This window comes from Homo sapiens, chromosome 1 (genome assembly GCF_000001405.40).
Source record: "Homo sapiens chromosome 1, GRCh38.p14 Primary Assembly".
Classification (NCBI taxonomy): Eukaryota; Metazoa; Chordata; class Mammalia; order Primates; family Hominidae; genus Homo; species Homo sapiens.
This window is the reverse complement of record NC_000001.11, coordinates 185,806,478-185,828,616: the sequence shown is the minus strand read 5'-3', so window position 1 is coordinate 185,828,616 and position 22,139 is coordinate 185,806,478. Positions and strand designations below refer to the sequence as shown.

Here is a 22,139-nt window from a genome sequence, read left to right as displayed (position 1 = left end):
AAGAAGTATTGTGTTTTCAGGAAACAATGTTCTATACATCAGTTAGATGTGTATTAATTATATTAACCAGGTCTTCTATAGATGTAGATATTTCTGTCTTCTATCTGTCATCAACTATGGAAGAAAATTCAAGTCTCTTACTCTAATATGTTTCTATATCTTCTGTTATTGTTTTGTTCTATGAATGTTGATGTTGTTAGTACATAGATACATTTCACTGCTTTATTTTCACTGTGAATGTCTCAATCTTTATAAAGTGTTATTTTTGTTTTGTTTAACATCAAGACCATGACCCTCACTTATTTTAAATTTGCATTTAAAATACATGTATTTACTATGCTTCCACTTTCTTTCCCTGTTTTATCCATTTTTATAAGGCTTATTACTTTTATTATCAGTACAATTTGCATTACAGTCTGTTCTGTTACCCTAATCCCCATATTTTAGTCTTAGTCAAAGAATTGCATAAATCCAATGCTCATGGTTAGTATTTTTGTTGTATACTTTTTAGACACCTCTTGCTTAACTTTTCTTCTAAAAATTTCCTGATATTTCATGTAAACAATATTCCCTAAGTTGTGCGTGTTCAAAATTGTTTGCTATTGCCTCTGTATTTGAACAACATTTTTGCTGGTTATAAAATTCTTGAGTCACACTCAACACATAGATTTTGCTCCATTATTTTCTAGCATTCAGTGTGTTCTAAAGTAGTTCAAGATCACATTAATCTATTTCTCCTACAAGAGACATTCTTCTTGGCCACCCAAGGGAGTCTTTCATTATCTCTGAATTTTACTTGGATATGTTTTTATGTTTATGGCACTGGGGCAATTTCCATTGGATTTAGTATGCCTTTCAACATGTAAATTCAAGTCTTCCTTAACTTAGGGAAATTATCTTAATTTATATCTTTAAATATTTATTTTGTGACATAATTTTCATTTTTATTCGTGACTCCAAAAATGTGCATACTTGATTTCCTTTGCCTGTCTTCTATAGCTACCTACCATTTTCTGTCTAATCTTTTAAAACTCTTAAATTTCTCTTTCATTTTGCTCACTTTCCTCATATTCATCCTCTCTCAAGGTCTTTGCTATATTTCAGCAGTGTTTATTCTTTCTTGTGCTCCTGCCAACTTTTCCTTGATTTCTGTAGTGGTTTTATTTTTCCTGTCCATTTCTTTGAGACCACTGTTCACCTACCATCTCTTCTCTGAGTTCTTTTATTTTTTATTGGCATTCATCCTTCATAAACACACTTATTTCTTTAAAGTTTTGTTTTACTTTATTTTTAAATTTATAGCACAATGTTCAGTAACAATTTTCATCTCTTTCATGGCACACTACTTTGTTTTGTTTAGCTATTATTTTCTCCTGAGCTTTTGGTTTCCCTCTTCATTTCCTCATATTTTTCTTGCAATTTTTTTTCTTTTTTTTTTTTTTTTTGAGATGGAGTCTTGCTCTGTCGCCCAGGCTGGAGTGCAGTGGCATGATCTCGGCTCACTGCAAGCTCTGCCTCCCGGGTTCATGCCATTCTCCTGCCTCAGCCTCCCGAGTAGCTGGGACTACAGGCGCTACCACGCCCAGCCAATTTTTTTTATTTTTAGTAGAGACAAGGTTTCACTGTGTCAGCCAGGATGGTCTCGATCTTCTGACCTCGTGATCCGCCCACCTTGGCCTCCCAAGCAATTTTTTAAAAAAAGATCTTAGGCTAATCCTTTTTGGTATCATATAGTATTGAAACTGGTGAGTTTTTTCTGTACCAGCTATTTGTTGGAAGTTCATGTGGCGAAGGGAATGGAGACATATTCCAGGCTAAGGGCAATTTTTCCTGTGATGTAGGATTTTGATTGTGTATTTATTTCCTTTTTACACTTCCTCAATCAATGGACATGGTAGTTGAGATGGTTTTCTTAATGTAAACTATCCTTTCTCTACTGCAATGAAGACTGGCTGTTTGCTCAACCAATGAAGACTGGTCTATGTTTTCATGTGGTTGGCCCATCTTTTTTACTGCTCAGAACCAACTGGGTCTGAGAAAGTTGGTGCACCTAGTTTGTCCTGTTATAATAATGGAGCTCAGAAATTGCATCTCAGTGTGTATCCCTCATCTTCATAAATGGCTGTCTCGTAGCTGCACAGCTGTTGCACTGCCTCCACTGTTTTCCATCTCCTCATCCTAATCTACAACGTCTACTGCCTTGGGAAGACATTCCTCCTTTGGGAGGATCTGGAGTTTAGCAGTCTTTTAGCATCACCAAATATGGTTGTTTAAATTTCTGTTTTTCATTTACCTTGTTGCTTTGGATAATTTCTGCGAAGATGAGGTGATAATGTGACTTTAAACTACCACATTCAAATCAGACATTCTATCCTAAATTCTTTAATTTTTGTCTTAATCGAATATCCTCAAAATCCATGTTTTATACATTCAGGAATTGAATTGGAAATACAAGGAAACAATAATAACCATCTACTTTGTGTCTGGCACTGTAAAACACATAAAACTACTTTATTGTATATGCCTCAAAATAGCCCTGCAAGTTGGGTATTATCTTCATTTTACAAATGAATAGCACAGCCCAGATTTGTCTTTACTCTGAACCCCACTCAAATAAATTCTCATTCTCCCAAGATAACTTTTAAATATTTAGTTTTTATAGAAACAAAATAATCCCTGATTAGATTGTATTATTTCTTTGTTTTGGAATCTAAATTTCTTTCGTCTCCTCCAAATACTTTTTTAAACCACTAGTAATATGTAAGAGAAAAACCTTTTAGAACAGAAATGGTTGCATGCTATTAAACAAGAACTGGATTTCCTAAGCTGTAAAACCACAAAGCCCAACATAACACAATCAATATGCTGTTTGGTTTTGTCCCCTAAGCAACTGGCCAAACACTACCATAAATTTGCCTGCCAATGAATTTGACAAAGATGAAGAATGTTGATCTACCCCCTACCTAAAATGTAAACTTTGAATAAAGGTAACATAAATATAATGACAAACAGACAAGAATTCAAGTGACAAACAATTTGAGAGTAAGATTACAAATTCTTTGTTTTGGGCAGAATTGATTATCATTATTTCATGTACTTTTTGAGCTTGCTACATTTATGAAAACTCCAGACACACAATATTTCAGACACATTTACAAATAGAAGTTAGCACTTGCTACCATACTTTCTTGGCATCCGAAACGAAGAAAGCACTGCACAAATCATTCCTTCTTTCAAAATAAAGTTTTATTAAATTTTTTAAAAGTTACCCCCTAAATACAGCACTAAAACCAGACATAATAGAAAAAGCACTGAATTTAAAGTGAAGACCTTTGCTATTATACTACTTCTACATTATTAGTGGTGTGAATTTGGACAAGTTACTTAACTCTCAGCTTTGGTGTATGCTTTGTGTAAAATACACTTGGAAGTACCCCTCCTCAGCGTTTCTGTTTGGCTAATATCTGTGTAAACAACTAGCATAGTTCCTAACACATAGATGTTCAATAAGTATTTATTGAGTCTTAACAACATTCTGAACAATTTCTTGTTTTTACTTTCTATTATATTAAAATCTAATATAATGATGGCAATAAAACTCTTTCCTTAAGGAGTACATCAGCCATTATAGTAATCATTAGATATCAATGCTCCACTTATTTCTTTCTCTATCTTTGGCCGCAATAATAGAGTTAACCTTAGTGTTAACTCTTGCTCAGAAAGATTTCTATACTATTTTAGTGTTTTAACAAAATAAATATATTGCTCTGATGGAATAAAAAAGTTTGAAAAAACCACAGGCTATCGAATAAAACAATCATGAATACCAGTTCTGGTTTTGCTAGTTACTATGGCAAGTTATTTAATCTCTCTGAACCTCAGTTTCTTTATCTGTAAGATTCTGACAGATTGCTTAGAATTGAATGGTACAGAGTATGTAAAGTAATACATATAGTAGACATGCAATAAAAGTGAGCCCCTTCCCCATGAAAACTCCAAAAGTCTTCATAGTTTCAATTGTGGTTATGCCTACAACCAATATAGTGTCCATTCTCCCCGATAATCTAACCAGAGCTTAGCGTAGGATATTAATACCTGAGTGTTTATTAGTATCTTATCAGAAGGCATTGTGTAGCTTGCAGAGAGGGTATATTTACAGGGTTACACAATTTGAGAATTCTCTGACCCCAAAAAGCCTATGATTTAGTCAGAAGGTAAACATAACAAATTAATGACAAACAGACTGTGTGAGATACGTGTGGTACAAACAAAGCCACAAGAGTTTAGAGAAAGAGGAGATTGCTTTTGTCTGGGTTAATAAGTTTAGTGGTTATACACATAGCCTTTGAAGGAGACAGCTTGAGCTCCAATCTTGTTTAACCACTTACTAGCATCTTAAACCATTTGGGCAACTCTTTTAGCCTCAGATTCCTCATCTTTAGAAGAGACCTTGTCAGGGTTATTCAGAGTATTAAACAAGCTGAAGCATAAAGCCAAGTACTCAGGACATGTGAGTTAACAAAAATATCCTATCATCTAAGTCTCACAGTAAGCACAGAATATTTTTAAATAGACTCCCATTTCTATCAGAAATATGCCATGTCAGTTCCCCATAGAATGGTGATGATGGTGACAAAATAAACAAACAAAAATCTACTTGCTGTTAGTTCCAAAGTGCTCAGATATGTTTGAAATAAATAAAAAGTAGAAATAGTCGCACATTAGAAAAGCAACACAAATATAACACACTTGACTGCGCTATGAACCTAGGTAATTTAATTATTCATTTCTAGAAGTCTGTATTGTTTCAGTTCTGAATTCAAAATGCTGCTTCTTGTTTAAATTTTAGTTCTTAAGTTATAAATAAAAAGAAATAAGGAAAGACACACAGGTCCTTTGGGTGGTTTATTTTTCCAGAACAGGATATTGTATTTCATGTCTATCTTCTGGCATTCAGTCATGTGAACAGCTCAGTGGAGCTGACTTGGATTTCACTAAAACCACAAAGCCAAGAGATGGCCACTTGGGAAGCTCATGACCGACTGGTCATGAAAATAAGCATCTTTGTCAGAAGTCTGTAGTAAACTGAGGCAACATCAAACTTGCAGTCAATTGAGACATCCAAATCAAAAATAACAAAAAAAATCTGTCAGTATTTATTACCATGAAATTAACATTATTTACACTTTACCTTAAACACCAAAGAACAATTTTTTTATATGTTGCCTACACTTTCACAGTTGTTTTACATGTTTGCCTTGTATATTACAGAAAGCTCATGAAAATATCAGCATATAAATATTTAAAATTTTGCTGGTGATTATGAAAAAGAACTATCTTTTTCCAGAAAATGATCTTTCTCAAGAACGCATTGCTCTGGAGAAATTATCACATCTATTCAAAATTTCCAGTTTAGAGGGAATAAATCATTTAATAGTCAGTAGGAGTTAATGAAATAAATTTGGGTCCATATGTGACATTTTACCAATAATGTTATTGGTATTCATTCCTTAGAGAAATACTCATGATATAATGTCTGAAAAAAGTAAAATGTAAAATATCCCATATAACTTTCATTTGAAACAAAAAAAGAGTGAGATAAGTTAAAGGAAGGGAGAGTGAAAGAGGAGATGAGTGAAATATATCAAATTTTAACAGTGAGATTGTTCAAATTTTGCTAATTTTGTTTTGTTATTTATATTTTATATAGTTTCTAAGTTTTCTAAAAGGAGCATCAACAAACAAAAAATCCTGAATCTGAAGTATTATCAGTCAAATAAGATACTTCCTGCCCAAAACAGGGATGTTTTCCTGAGAAAAACACTATCAATTTTTAAAATACAAAGTCATAAATGAGAAAACCTATATTCTCAGCAAAACTACTTACTTTGGATGCATTAACTCCTGCCAGGCAACTACTTTGCCCTTGAATCTCACTAAAATTGATATTCAACAAAATAATAATAGAAAAAATTTTAAATTTAACCTTTTATTTCAAAACATTTACTGGCAGCCAGAATGCGCTCTTAGAAGTCATAGTAGACTTAATCAAGTACTTTAATGTAGCTGTGTGAGGAAGGAGTTGATTTAATTTACATTAACATTATCAAACCCTTCAAGTTAGTATAAGAATGTTGATCAGGCAGGCAGGAGCTAGAACACTCAGTTTGGGTGTTTTGGGGGCCTCTCAGTTTCCTGGAAAGATGGAGAACATAAAGCTTATTTTATGTTTTAAGACTGTTTTTTCAGAGAAGTTTTAGGTTCAGAACAAAACTGGGATGAAGGAACAGAGATTCCCATGTACCTCCTGCCCACCCCGCCCCACAACCTCCGCCATTATCAACATCCCCCACCAGAGTGGTACATTTGTTACAACTGATGAACCTACATTGACACATCATTATCAACTAGTCTATTGTTTTCCTTAGGGCTCCCCCTCTTGGTGTTGTACACTGTATGGGTTTGGACAAATGTATAGTGACATATACCTACCATTATATTACCACATGGAGTAATTTCACTGCCCCAAGAATCCTCTGTGCTCCACCTGTTCATTCCTCTCAAACCCTGGCAACCACTGATCTTTTCACCGTCTCCACAGTTTTCCCTTTTCCCAAAGATTATGTAGTTGGAATCATACAGTACATAGCCTTTTCAGATTGGCTTCTTTCACTTAGCAATATTCATTTGAGGTTCTTCTATTGTTGTAAAGCTTTTTTTTTTTTTTTTAAAGCAAAGCAATCAACAGGTAATAGCTTTATTTCCCAGGGCAAAGCACACTATCTCTCATGCCTGCAGAGTCACCACTGCTTGCCAAGGCAATTCCCCATGCCAGCTTTCTCCTTGGCTTTACTGAGCCTTTTTTCAAGTTGACCAAGCAGAAGAGAACCATGAGCAGGCCTTGCTCTAAAGTCTTCCTTGGCTCAAAAAGTAAGATACAAGACTGGCTCCATACCTCTCAGCAAGTCTAAAAAAGCAGAGCCAGACCAGAGCTGAAACATAGTATACAAGTACATGAGTATAATTGTCATCAGACTTTCATATATGTGATATATGAATTACATTTTAAGAGTTACATGATTTAATTCCAAGAGTTACAAGCTAGTGATAAGAAATTGGCCATCACTGTTGGCAACTCAGTAGAGATTATAATATGCTACCCTTAAGCTTAGTCATCATCTATTATTATATGACAGAATACGAGTATGAGTTTCCTAAACCTTTCTACCAATAAGACAATTCATTTCCCTTGCATCAAACATATGTCAACAACTAATGACATATAATTATTCTCTTTAAACAAGATAAATCAAAATTTAGAGCTAACTTCTTCAGAATTCCTCTCAATGTATGTACCTTAAGTTATACCAAAGAATGCAATCCTTTATACTGGTGGTCTTTACAGAGAGGTGCACATGTACCAAAAAGGTACACAATAATATCTGTATGAAGACATTTGTGCTCTTATTGACTTATCTCAACCATCTCTAAGCTTTTGCTTTAAAGTTGACAAAATATATTACAGCAATAGTACATCCTGTGACTTATAAGCATATATATAGATATATATATATTACATGTACATATATATATATTACAGGTACATAATGTTTTCATCAATAAAGGTGTCTGATTTCTAAATGTTTAAAATTAGATGATTAGAACTCATCAAGAAAATGTCTCTATTCAAAATCCACATATTAAAATGAGTGTTCTAATATCTACATAAGCAAATATCTTCATCCATCTGAAGGCAGTAGAGGTAGATGGTCCATTTCACTTGTAGTTTATGGCAAGCGCTTTGCAGACATAAAATATTGCTATACACCACTAAAATATTACATATTCTATTGACATTGTTTCCCATAAAGTACTCTCTGATGACAGATGCTTTTAGCGAATGGCCTTCAGCTTGATTTTAATCATACCAATCCTCTAAATCTCAAAGCTTTAAAGACTAATATGCACCACAAGTTTAAATATATTTTAGACTGTTTAAAAATTTACTATGTATAACCTTATTTGAGTACAAGAAAACAATTTTATGTTCAGAGGAAGATTAATCTGAGATTGAAATCACTAGGAACCATGTCTTTCACTTACTTCTATTATAAATAGTTTGAGCAAGATTGATTGATGAACTATTCTACCAACTAAAAACATTATTCGGGGCTGTCTCAGCTTCTTATTTTGAAGACCCAGTTTTAAAAAAAACATGAATGAGGAACGCCTTAGGTAATAAAATGGATACAGCAAAATCCAATCTCAAATACTCTATGACCTGATAGCTTTAATGCCCTTGTATAACAAATATGGAGTTGGTATCCTTCAGTGAAGTGGTCCAGAAGAAATGAAAAAGGCTAATCTATTTGGGATCCATGTTTCTTGGAGGATAAAGACAAAGTAACCTCAGAGATTACTTTGTGTAGTTATGTGTATTTACTGGGCATATATCATTTTAATTCTTATGAAAAACATATTTAGACACTTTCTCCTGCTGACAGTTCCCAATCAAAAGCAAATAGCATGCACATATTTGTCAGGGTCATTGGCAGTGGTTCTCCAAACCTTTTGCCCCCTTATCATACTTCATTGTGCTTTTTTCCTTCCTGCTACTCACTTTATCTATTTCCTGCACCTTCTCTAGGCTTTCTTTTTCTTCTCCTGTGACTTGCCATGCCTTTAACAGGTCATGTTAAACATGCTATATGGCATGATACATTATTAATAAATGGAAAATAAAACTACATTTCAGAATGCTGGTTGGGGTTCATAATATTGAATTGTTTTATTGACTTTTCCACCATGGAAACACCCAGTGGTTCAATATAAATTCCTCATTTGTTTTGGACTCCTCATGTTTTCAAATATTTGGGGCAATTTCTTATAAGACTGTTTCTTTCTCTAATTATTTCCAAACAACAAATGATGACTTTTTTAAGTAAAATATTGAAGAAGAAAGGCTTTAAGGAGTTATAAGAAAACTACTGTAATCAAAGAAGCAGGTGCAAAATTATTAAAAAAGACCGCAAGAATAACTGGCCAATTTGAATGAGATATTTTTCTCCAATTTCTGACTAACTTATATTTTAGTTCCTGAAAAAAACATAGAGAAGGACACAGATTTAGGTAATATCAGAGAACTCATGGACAATGAGGAAATGTAATAAAAAGTGATAAATAGGAAAAAGTATGTTTCTCAAAAGAGGGAAAAGAGTAGCAAATACTGGAAAGCATATTTTGGTTGGTAAACTTAATTTTAAAATCAAGAAAATGCCTACAATGGTCCTCAATGTTTAGAAAAAGACATAAAGACATAGTTGCATGTGAATGAAAACCAAATACATCAAGCTAGCAGCAGGTCCTTTTTTTTTTTTTTGAGATGGAGATTCGCTCTTGTTGCCCAGGCTGGAGTGCAGTGGTGCGATCTCCGCTCACTGCAACCTCTGCCTTCTTATTTCAAGTGATTCTCCTACTTCAGCCTCCCGAGTAGCTGGAATTACAGGCACCCACCACCACACCCAGCAAATTTTTGTATTTTTAGTAGAGATGGGGTTTCACCATGTTGGCCAGGCTGGTCTCGAACTCCTGACCTTGTGATCCGCCCGCCTCAGCCTCCCAAAGTGCTGGGATTACAGGCATGGCTTCCAGGTAACAGATCAAGGAACCACATAAGATAGTTTGATTTCAGCCAAAAAAAAAAAAGGTAAAATTGCTTAAACTATTTATGTTCAAGGAGATAAAAATTTTAGCCCAAGTGAAAGTTTATAAAAATTTATAAGTTTCCAAATGTATAAAACTGGATTTATTTAGGATAAGTTTTACATTCCATACTTAAGTTTTTGAAGGTACAGAATGGTGGTAGCCTGGTGTCATTCATTTATTCATCTAAGTGTAGTTATTGGGCACATATCACTTTAATTCTTATGAAAAATATATTTAGCCAGTTGCAAGCATTACATCAGTCAATAATGTGAAATCACTGCCAAAAAAAGCCCAAAATCTCAGGGTTAATAAAAATCCATATTGTATTATATCAAAGAAGGTAAGAATTAACTATATTCAGTTCTACTCAATTCACATCTGAAAAATTATATACAATTACAAATTTTAAAAGAGAAAAGTGACCAAATCGAGTTTATCCATAGAAAGGCTACCAAGTTTTGAGGTGTCTTAATCTGGAAACCAATATTCATACAAATAGTGATAAGAAGCTAATAATCTCCAAACACTTACATCCATGCCATTTAGGAAAAAAAAATAAATTGATAGGTGAAGGAAACAAACAGATTTCAACTCAATACAATGAAGAATTTTCTAATAATTAAAAGTGTTATGTGATAAGCCCACACTGTCATGTGAAGTTTTTAGGGGCAACTTAGGTAATCAATTTCAAGGATGCCACAGTGAGGCTTGGAATGATTGATTTATCCATTCTTGAAAGCAAAGAAAATTATGTTGCAGTGAAAAAAATATAAAGAAAATATATCTAGGTGCAGATAGAGGTGTGTCCTGCCTCATAAAGGTGGGGAAATCTAAGGAAGGCTTCTGGAGAAGTCCAGAAGAAATAATAAATAATATAAGTTTTGAAGAAGGAGTTGGGCTTAGCCAAATGCAGGAGATGGACAGTTGGTGGAGGAATGGAGGAATAAAAGAGGAAAACAGTATGGGTAAAAGCACCAATCTGAGAGAAAGCATAGTAGCTGTAAAGGACTAAAAGTATTTAAGCCTGACTAAATTGCCTTCTATCTTCTGAGATCCTATGAACCGAAACAGCTTTTTGTGCTCTACACAGCCTGGTGATTTTTAGGCTTTTCTCAGTCTTTCTTTTCTGTTTCAAAATCTGACTGTACACATACTAATGAAAGTCAGGGCCATTCTTGCACCACTTTTAATAAATATATTGGAGATATTTCATAGGCTTTGGTAAATTTAATGCTAAAAACAATCAAATCAACAATTCTTGAAACTATGTAATAAGCTAAAAAGTATAAACTGTGGCCAGTGACTTTCAGAATTTAGAATTAACCATTATTTGTGATCCTTAAGCACGCACAAACTTCTAATTCTATATAAATTCTTCACTGCTTTATCATGTCATTGCTGCCCCTCTGTAAACTGGCCTCAGCCTTTCTCTTCTGCCTTTTTTCCAACTTGTCCCCTCACACACCCCGCCCTGGGCCCAATCTTTCTGCTTATTGCTATGCATTCAGGCCCCAAAGTTTCCACCCCTGTCTTTGCTCCAACTGTCCCATCAACCTGGAGGCACCCCTTTCCACTGCTGTCTATTGCTGCCCACACATCCTTAAAGGCCAAAATGACTGTCCCTTACCTCAAGGAGCTCTGTAGTTCCACTTCCCTCCCAGTTAGAATGACTTTATTTATCATGTGGACCTATAGCCACTGGGGATATGCTACTTGTCTCTTGCACACACAACATGTCATCCCTGCTGGACTCTGGGTGAGCTGAAGAATGAAGAGTTTCTCGTTCATCTCTGTTTCTACCATCACACCTACTACAGCACCTTGTACAGAATAAACTCTAAGCAAACTCATTAGTATTTACTTGCAAATATTTACTGAGCTTCCACTATGTGCCAGGCACTGTTCAAGACACTGAAGATACAGTGGTAGGGAAAGAAAAAACAACAGCAGCAACCCCTGCCCTCATGGAGTTTCCACTGGGATATGGAGAGAGGCCTAAGCAATAGACCAAAAAGAAGTCCAGGCCACAGCATCAAGAATGTGCTATGGTCAGCCATCAAACCATGCAGTAATCATAGTTGAAGCCCTTGCCACTTTCCACTTCTTTCTGTCTCCCAGCTTCCCCTCAGATGGACCCAAGGAAGTATACAATTCCAGGCACTTCTCCTGAGGGAGCTTACAAATCCATAAAATCCTAAAACAAGATGTACTTAAATGCCTCAGCCCCCACATTGGGGCATTAGTTCTGAGTCATTTTCTCTGCTAGGATGTTACCCAATACAGACCACTGGTTTTTCCATGTTATGTTCCAAGCTGCCTTTATTGCTAATCAGATACAGCTGACATTAGCATAAAAACGTTATACATCATTATTTAAAATTTATTCTGTCATGGGCATGGTGGATATAAATAAATTGTTCTAATCTCCTTTCCTATATCCAATATATTGATATACATTGGGAAATCACAATGGGATGAGCATACAAGAGATTTGAAAGCTGTGATCAAGCTATGGTTATGGAATTCTGGAAGCCTCTTTTCCATTTAAATATTACAAACATCCCCAAAGTACAAAGAGTAGTCCCTGAGTACTTCAACACCCAGTGACTGCTTTTCAAACAATAGTGTGGTAAAAGGAGATATCACTGGCCATTTTACAAAGTCAGCCTAGCACATGGATTGATGGATCTGTGTCAGTAACTGCCTATAATTTGTTCTTCCTTTGAGTCCCTCAATCTTCCATTCTGACCAGATAGTGAGTGAGAAATTCCATGATCATGCTACATGTTCTATCTTAAACAGGAAACAAAATGGAATTTTTCTGGCTAAGGCAAAATAATTCCTTGCTCTACTGGTCCCAATTTTTGCCTATATCAAACTTAGTCCATGAATTCTTGCCTGGATTCTGACCATGGGCCTATTCATTACACAATGAATGGGTATGATATTGCTAAGTGGGTAGCAGTATTGCTCATGGGGTACAATATTGCTAAAGAGAAACAGCATTATCAAGTATGGAGTACACAGTATTTTAAATTATAATAAGAAACAAATCAAATTGATGCTCAGCAATATAGTAAATATTTTAGCAAGGAATTCTAGCAGCCTAATGGTACTATTGTCAGTTATATTTACTTTCATAAATTAGTATACTTGTATTTTCAAAATTAGAGGAAACTTACTCACATCATTGTCACTAATGTGTTGCTGAACATACTAAGATCGGTCTTTTTTTTTCTAGGTTGCATAGCCAGCCAAAACTGCTAGTGTTGATATTAAGACCTAGAACTCTTGGTCTTATGCTTTTAACACTAAATATCAAAATTATCCCCACAGCAAATAATGTACATAATAGAAGTGGATAATTAAAAATTCCTATTCAATATAAATGCATCCTTTCATTCAACAAATCTTCCTGGAGTACATCCTATGTTTAAGTACATTTATAGGCAGCATGGATGAGAAAATACGGTAGCCACTTATAAGAATCCTAAGTGATTATAAGCACTTACAATGCTATTAATGAAAAGAAAATAAGAGTAACTTATTTGACTTGTAAACAACTGACATAGAACTTTTTATATAAAAAACTAAACTTTAGGATGACAAATTTCTCATCACACTTAAATCTAGTCAAACATTAAAGTGGTCCATGCTTCACCCCTCACAGTCTGTGTCAAACAATATGTTTTAAAAGTTGATTACATCATTCTCAGGATATGGTTCTTCAAAATTATGTAATTAGTATATTTGAGTGATCCACCATTATACATGTAAAATCACTGAAGTATAAGCTGTATTTGCCATTGACTTCAAACATGTCTTTCTTGTCTAACCGGACATTGTTCACTTTCTCTTTTTTACCAAAGAACACTGATTTTTCTTACCCTCTATAACCCCTAAATTATTCTACTTATACAAAAAGTTCGGCCAGGCTCACACCTGTAATCCCAGCACTTTGGGAGGCCGAGGTGGGTGGATCACTTGAGGTCAGGAGTTTAAGACCAGCTTGGCTAACATGGTGAAACCCCATCTCTACTAAAAATACAAAAATTAGCCGGGCATGGTGATGTGTGCCTGTAGTCCCAGCTACTTGGGAGGCTGAGGCAGGAGAATCGCTTGAACCCAGGAGGTGGAAGTTGCAGTGAGCTGAGATCGAGCCACTGCACTCCAGCCTGGGCTACAGAGTGATACTGCATCTCAAAAAAAAAAAAATAAATAATAATAATTAAAAAAAATAAATATTAAGTGCAATAAAATAATTAAAAGATAACCTCCTAAGAAACAATAAATAGGAAATATAAAATAGATGCCTTCATTACCAAGTAACTCCCCAGTGGCCAACTGACTAAATATCACCAAACATGAAATTTATTTTCTACTGACTAGGTTAAGTTATTGTTTTAGTAAGAAAAGAAGCATGAAAGCAGATATTCATCTTTAATTATACCTAAGTAGAAGTATGAGTAATTTCTCAGAAGACTTCAACTTTGTTTGTCTGTTATTAAATTTTAATGTCTCATGAAAACCAGTATACATCGGGAAGTATCCCACCAACTCTGTTTCTAGCACTAATTTTTAATTTTATAGTACACAGATGTTCCAGAAAAAAATGTAATCTATTTGAAAGGTAAGGGAATAAAACATTTAAGTCAGAGACTATTGTCCATCAGCAATTGCTTCAAAAGAGTGGCCTGTACAACTATTGTTTTAAGGGAAGAAAGAAGACTCGATTGTGAAGGCCTCTTCTATTTTCAAGTTGTTAGGTTCTGTATCTCTCTTCAAATAAGAGGTTAAATTTGACTATCCATATCTAAAACTTTGTTTCACTTTTTAGAATTCCTATCACTCAGAGGAAATATGCAATACTAAGTGTAGAAGGGATATGTAAGCTAAACGTGCTTACATGAACTAATACCATTAAAAACCCACTATAATTTATCTGTTGCCTTTAAGTGAACTCCATATCCTATTCATTCACTCATTATTTTTTCACTCTTTCTCCAAGATGAGTCTAAACTTGACTTTTCAGTTACTTCTGTTCCAGTTTCTGGTGTGTGTATTTTGTTAGCATACGTTTAAGGTAAGTCAAATGTAATACAGCAAAATTGTAACTATTTCTGTGACAGCAAACACAAGTAAAAATAAGTGAAAACAAGTCAGAAAATTTCTATTAAACTATAAACTATGGTTATATTACATGCAGAATTTAAGATGTGTGCTTAATACCACGATATGTAAAATTCCTTATAAAAGTTTCTACTAGGATTTTGATTCTTCCTCAAGTCAACCCTCTATAAAGAGGCCATGTTATTCAGCATTGGAATACAGCTCCACCTGCTGGTACTGACAGATCCATATATTATATATACCTTTTGTAGGCTAGTGTTACTAAATTTATGCTTATTCAAAGCTGACCTAAAGCCTCCTACAGCAGTATATTTTACAAGAGTAATCAGAATATGATTTTGCTTAAAATTTTCCCAGAAGTATAATTATATAGAAATTACACTGACATCGTACTGTTTCTCTTCAAGCAAATACAGTTTGCAACCTATTCCATTTGCTTTTGATGACCAAACAAATTTAAGGAATGGCAATATAATTGGTTTCTATTATCATATTTTAACTAGGTAGTCAAACAAAACCTCAGTGATTACATTAATTTACCCTGTTTCCATGCAGCTATTTTCTTATTTTAATAAACAAACCAAAGTTATGTAAGTATACTTATTCATTCATTGATGTACAATATTAATTGAGCAACTATTATGGGGCCAAGTCCCATGTCAGGCTCTGAAAAGCAGAACTGAGTAAGGCAGACATGGAATTTACAGTGCAGCTGAGGAACAAAAGTTGAACAAGTATCTATTTAGGTAGTCACTATCACTTCAATCAGATGCAATCAGGAAGTCCTCTCATGAGAAAACATGTGAAAACTGTACTCATGTACATGTGTAGAGAAAACTTATAATAGTTATCTTTGTAAAACAGTATTATAAATTTGGAAACTTTATGCTATATATATTCTCCCTTACATAAAAAAATTAGGTCTCATTTCCATCTTATTGTGCATGATGCATATCAATGAGGGGAATGTGTGTGGGGGGGGATTGCAAACATATGTATGTATATTCCAAGAAAGTGTCAATATTGAGATAATTTAAGAACCAGAAAGCAACCTGCTGGATAACTAAATTGCCAGAATCATTTTTAATACTTTCTCTCAATTATTCAGTTTTCAATTATTCTAACTTGATGTACAAACATATAAATTGTTTCAAAAGTCTAATATCTGTGCTAAATATTTACCTTTAAAACCTCATAAGAGGTGGGCTTTGTACATGTGAAGCAGATCATACTTACAATTTTCACTTCTCAGATCCCAAATATTATGTTATATAATGAATCGATAACCAGAGAATGTGAAAAAGCTAAAAGGCATTTCAAATAAGAAATCCATTTAATTTTTCTTAGAGTCGCATATGACACTTTTTTTGTTAAAGAAACAGGTCCAATAAGTCAAAATCATATTCATTTTTTTCAAGTCAAGTAGCTTTTAAGATGATGCAGTCTCTTGTGTATGTATTTTCCGTTGATTTGAATGTGTTACATTTCTCAATCAAACATGCCAAAATAACACTAAAATCAATGTTTTAGTAAAAAGATATTTATCAATAGGAAATCAGTCAAATAACCTAGACAGGCCACAGAAGCAATCTGCTTCCCTTTTATAATCACTTATATCTTGCCCTAAAAAAAAAATCAACAACATACTATTAAGCAGATAAAAACTTTTAATGTTGGCCATCTTCAAAAACTATATGCTACTTAGAGAATAGCTGACTGGGTAAGTTAAAGCTGAGTACTCTAAAACTCTAATTGAGAGGATCTGCCTTAAGTTGAAAGGAAACTATCTTCATAAACATTGCTAATGTCTGTCTCCAGTTTTCTATAACATCATAATTCTTAAGAAAATGCCCTAGACAGTAGTTCACCTCATTAACTGAGACAATCTCAAAATATCTGAAGTGAACTAAAAAGAAAAATGTGCAAAAATAATGTCAAGAAAGAAGGTCCATAGGTTAGTTCAATATGTTCAGCATTTCATTTAATCTTTTTGCTAAAACAATCCAATGAAGGCACATGCCTATGTATATACATATGTGTATTTTTTTTTTTAGAGCAAGGGAAAGAGAAATAAGACTGCCTTTTCTTTCTTTCCAGTCTCCTAGCTTAAAAACCAGATCCATGAGAAAAATGGCTTATACCAACAAATCCACACACCTCCTTTTTTTTTTATTTTTATTTTTCAAGAGACAGGGTCTTGCTCTGTCACCCAGGCTGGAGCACAGTGGTGCAGTGGTGTGATCATAGCTCAACTTCCTGTGCCTAAGCAATCCTTCCCACCTCCGCCTCCTAAGCAGCTGGGACTTACAGGCATATGACACTGCATCTGGCTAACTTTAAAATTCATTTTTTTTTTTAGAGCTGAGGTCTCACTATATCGCCCAGGCTAGTCCTCACACTTTTATGAGAATCACCTGTTTCAAGTAGACTGTGATGTGGAGAACAGTACATATCATGGCCCTATATCAATGTATTAAGTTCAGTTAATGGAGCACAGTGGAGGGCAGGGCACACATTTCTTTGTGGAGGCTGTGTAAGAGAATCTACCCTGTCCCTCTAATAGCCCTTGTTTTTCAAATTGAGAGCATACAATGACTTTTTTTCTTCAAGCGTTTTTCTCAAAATTCTGTAAGACCACTCCTATCTTAAGTCCTATATGTAAGGACATGTAGAAATGAAAGAGACTAAAACTCTCAGATACACAAAAAATTTCAGATTGAATATCAGGACAAATGAAAAACATTTCATGCAAACTTAACTTGTTTGAGAGATTGGGGGTGTGGGATGGGTTTGTTTTTTAATAAGCAAATGCAGATGTTGAAGGAAAAACGTTTAGATTTTTGACACTGTTCTTTGCTAACAGAATGCCAAATGTTTTCCATAAGCAATGTTGAAATGTCTGAATTTTTTTTATAAAACCATCACCCAGCTGAACTTTGAAAAATGAAATTTACTGATTTACTGTGAATAAGCTTGCATATTTAATATTTCAGATTAACATTTTTATACAACTTTTATTTTCCAGGCACTTAATAAATTTTAATCATTATGGGAAGAATTTATGGTCTTCCTGTGTTGTGCACATGTGAGATACACACACACACACACACACACACACACACACACAAAGTTGATATTTATTTAGTTGTCACTCTTTAGGAACATAGTTAATGTTGTACATAAACTGATTGTGGGATTAAATCGAGTCCATTTTACTACATGCAGCAGTTTGGATTCATCTTAATGTCATGTGAAAAACTACCTATGTTCAGGTATTCACTGTCAAATCAGAAAAAATATTCAAAGAGCAAAACATTCATGCAGCTTTTCTTATAACTGAGTTTCACTTTCAGTCATTAATGTGATGTCTGTGAATCTTTTTATTGGGTGGAATTTTCTTCCTTTTAAACTTAAAATATTCATTGATTATATTTGACAAGTTTCACTTCAATCTCTTCCCAGGGTCTGTATGCAAAATACAAAATTGTCCCAATCATTAAGGGAAACTAAATTTAGCTATAACACATTTTCCCTATTAAAGCTACGAACTCACTGATCAATGGAAAAAATGACAGATGAAAGAGACTAGATTGGATTATTTAATTGCAGAATATGTCTCCTCCTCGTTCTATTTAATAGTGTGATGAAGGCTTAAATAAAGTTTGACTCTCTCCTGTTTTGTAGAGATATAACCAAAATGTTAAAAGATTATTTTGCAGTTACCAATAATTCCTGAGAAGAGTGGCAATGATCGGTTTGTTTATTCAAGTGTTTATTTCCTCACCTTTAATCATTCCACTAAAAAAGACTAATGAGTAGGGGCAAAGATATCCCAGAATACAGAATAAATATTGATACCCAAAAGAAAAATAGTACTAAAAGGATGACCTAAACCCTGCAACAAACATTTTGGAGTTTCCACTAGGTAGTGAAGAGAATTTGAATTGTTTCAAAAAGTATCTTAAGCCTTTCAGAGTGACAGAAGTGACAAAATAAATCACTAAATCTGGCAAGTGTAGAACAGACCTAAATACTTTTGAAGTACCTCCTCCCTGACTGATCCCATATATCAAAAAGTATGTTATATCATACTATATCATATCTATATATCAAAAAGTGTGTTAAGATACTACTTACTATTATTTCCAGGAGTGCCACTGTACAAAGGGCAAGGATCACCTTTTGTCAATACTGTTTTCCTGTCTTCATCACTTTACTGAATACAAGATGCACAGTAGGAATTTCAGAAATATTAATTATATATATATATTATGCCTAGAAATTTCTAGTGATATATATATGTAATCACATGTATATACATGTGCACATACTATGTTATAGTATATATAATGCCCAGGAATGTCTAGTGATGTATATATAATCACATGTATGTTGTGTGTGTGTGTATTCAAATTCATTGTTAATGGAATGGAGACAAAGAAAACATATTTTATTAATTACAAAATTATCTCAAAGATTCCTACTAATAAAGCATATTAAGAGAGAGTTATTTCAAAGTTAAAATTCTTGGGGAAAACTGCCAAAATCTGTTTTCCAGAAAATGACCTTAGTCTCCAGCCCCGTCTGTAAAATGGGGTTTTTACTATGGTGAAGGAAAATACTTGGCCTCTTTCTCGTTCTTAGACATATGTTAGGAATGAAAGAGACGTTAATAAAGTGCTTATATGTCCTTTGGGAGAAAAGTACTACACCGAATACTATCATTAGGTAAGTCGAAATATAATTTGACCAAAGGTAATTACCCATTTGGATCCTTTGGCTCTGGATCACAAAGGAGGGTGGGTAAAGTAACCTTGAACAAGTGGTCTGGTATAAATTAATAGCTCTCCATTCCAAACAGCTAATCCATTACATACTGCCTATTGCTATTTCCCTTCTGAATACTTTTTTGACTCTTCCTGTAAGAGTTGCCCAAAGATCCATGTTGAATGCCATCATATTATTAATAGTCAAAGAAAGAAATATTGAGCCACGAAGAAAACAGAATAGTTAACCTCTTACATCATTCAGATGCCTGAAGAGAAAAGGAAGTAGAATACACTTTGAAGGACTCTCTTATCCCATGTAGTTTATCAAATTGCAAACATCAAAATATAATATGAAATACAGCCATAGGTTTATTGCCACAAAAAGAAAATCCTATATTAAGTACCAAAATCCATTCATAATTTTAATAGTCTATAAGAAAACAATAACAAAAAACAAATTAAAGATAATTTGCTGAGTTTTAAGTAATTTTTTTGGATCAAGGTCTTGCTCTGTTGCCCAGGCTGCAGTGCAGTAGCATGATCACACCTCACTGCAGCCTCAACTTTCCGGGCTCAAGTGATACTCGCACCTCAGCCTCTGGAATAGTTAGGACTACAGGCATGCACCACCATTTTTACTTTTTATTTTTTATTTATTTATTTTTTGAGACAGAGTCTTACTCTGTCATCCAGGCTGGAGTGCAGTGGCATGATCTCAGCTATCTGCAACCTCTGCTTCTGAGGTTCAAGGGATTCTCGTGCCGCAGTGCCCCAAATAGCTGGGATTACAGGCGCACACCACCACACTTGGCTAATTTTTTGTATTTTTAATAAAGACAGCGTTTCGCCATATTGGTCAGGCTGGTCTTAAACTCCTGGCCTCAAGTGATACACCCACCTTCGCCTCCCAAAGTGCTGGGATTACAGGTTTTTTGTTTGTTTGTTTTACTTTTTATAGAGACAGGGGTCCCACTATATTGCCTAGGCTAGTGTGACTTTTAAGTTAATTATTTTAAAAATTATTTAGAAATTTCAATATGAAGCAGAACTGTCTCTCTACCTTCAGAAATTAGAACAGAAAGTTCCATACCTTAAATATTTCAAAAAGAGAATATTCCCGTCACTTGTTTTCTCAACATAGTAGTTTTCAAAATGTTTACTTTTTAGAAAATTAGTAAAGTTACACCACTTAATTTGTTATCTCTCATCTTTCAGACTGCAAGGAAAAAAAGTATTATCATAAAAGACTTTTGCAGAAAGAATCCAGTATAAAAACATAAAATTCATAAACATGAAAGAAGTGATACTAAAGACAAGAATGCAAGGCTTATTCTCACAAATTATAAATAACATTGGAAGGCTTACTTTAAAGGAGTTTTTGAATCTTAACACCAAAACAAAGTAATACAGAAGAAACCTTTTGGCCAGAACTAGCCTTACTTTCAAATATGTATGCATGAATCCAGGAGCATATATGTGTATGCTAATATGTGCATGTTTATGTGTATTCCTGTGTATATTACTGCATATAACCATATGTGAATATGTATGAATGTGTTCTTGAGTATTTCTGTGAGTACACATGTGAATATGCTAGTTTGCTTTCCTCAATCAGATTTATTCTGCATGTTAAGAGAAGCCTATCTATTGAACTATGTAGGCTGTATAACAGCTAAGTTGCTCCAAAATATTACATGCAATTAATTATTGGGAAGTTAAGTGGCAGCACAGAAAAAGTCTGAATATTGACTCTTCAGTGCCAAAATGTAACTCTTTATTTTTCAAGGACTAAGTAACCTTCAACAGGAAATCATCACACTGAAATGTTAAAAGTCTTCATATTCAGGATTTTGAATGTTCTTAGATAGTTTAAATAGGAAATTTATTTAACAGAAAACTGCTTTTTTTATATTATAATCTTCAACACACAGGGAGCTAAAACTTTAAACATTATCCCTTTTACTAATTACTACTATAATCCCAAATTCTTGAAAGTTAAAGGTATTTCAAAGTCAAAGGTGTAATTTTATAGATTTTCAATCATCGAGAAACACTTCAACTGTTTCATTAAATGAAATGTTAAGAAAAAAATGTATAAGACAGGAAATGAGGATGGAAAGCCTTTCATAACAAGACTAATTTAACCTTCTCCACATAATGCCTACATTAAGCCACACTAAATAAATTAAATATAATAAAAACACAGTGGGCATTTTATAAATTCTTTCATAATAATACATCAATACAAAACTTTGTAGTGGGTTACATTTAATTTTCAAACTCAAAAAGGCTCTTTCTAAAATGCAAACCAGTTTGTAAAGGTAAAAGAAGCAAGATGCAATGCCATCGTACGTGAGAGATGCTTGGTTCGAAAATGGATCAAATCAAAGATAACAAAGAAAAAAATCAAAGATAATTTGCTGAGTTTTAAGTGATGTCTTATGTCTTTTTTTTTTTTTTTTTTTTGAGACAGGGTCTTACTCTGTTGCCCAGGCTACAGCGAAGTGGCATGATCACAACTCACTGAAGCCTTGA

General features: G+C 34.1%; 1 protein-coding gene across 4 annotated transcripts in view, besides 1 other annotated feature; it reads right to left on the bottom strand.

Annotated features, from left to right (window-relative positions):
• HMCN1 (hemicentin 1) overlaps positions 1-22,139 on the bottom strand; it is a 456,559-nt gene that overhangs the window by 362,333 nt on the left and 72,087 nt on the right. The window lies entirely within an intron of this gene.
• Positions 4,893-5,093: a silencer, noted in NCBI's record as "peak510 fragment used in MPRA reporter construct". NCBI's record gives its function as "represses an SCP1 promoter by STARR-seq MPRAs in K562 erythroleukemia cells {active_cell/tissue: K562}" and the evidence as "EXISTENCE:reporter gene assay evidence [ECO:0000049][PMID:32103011]".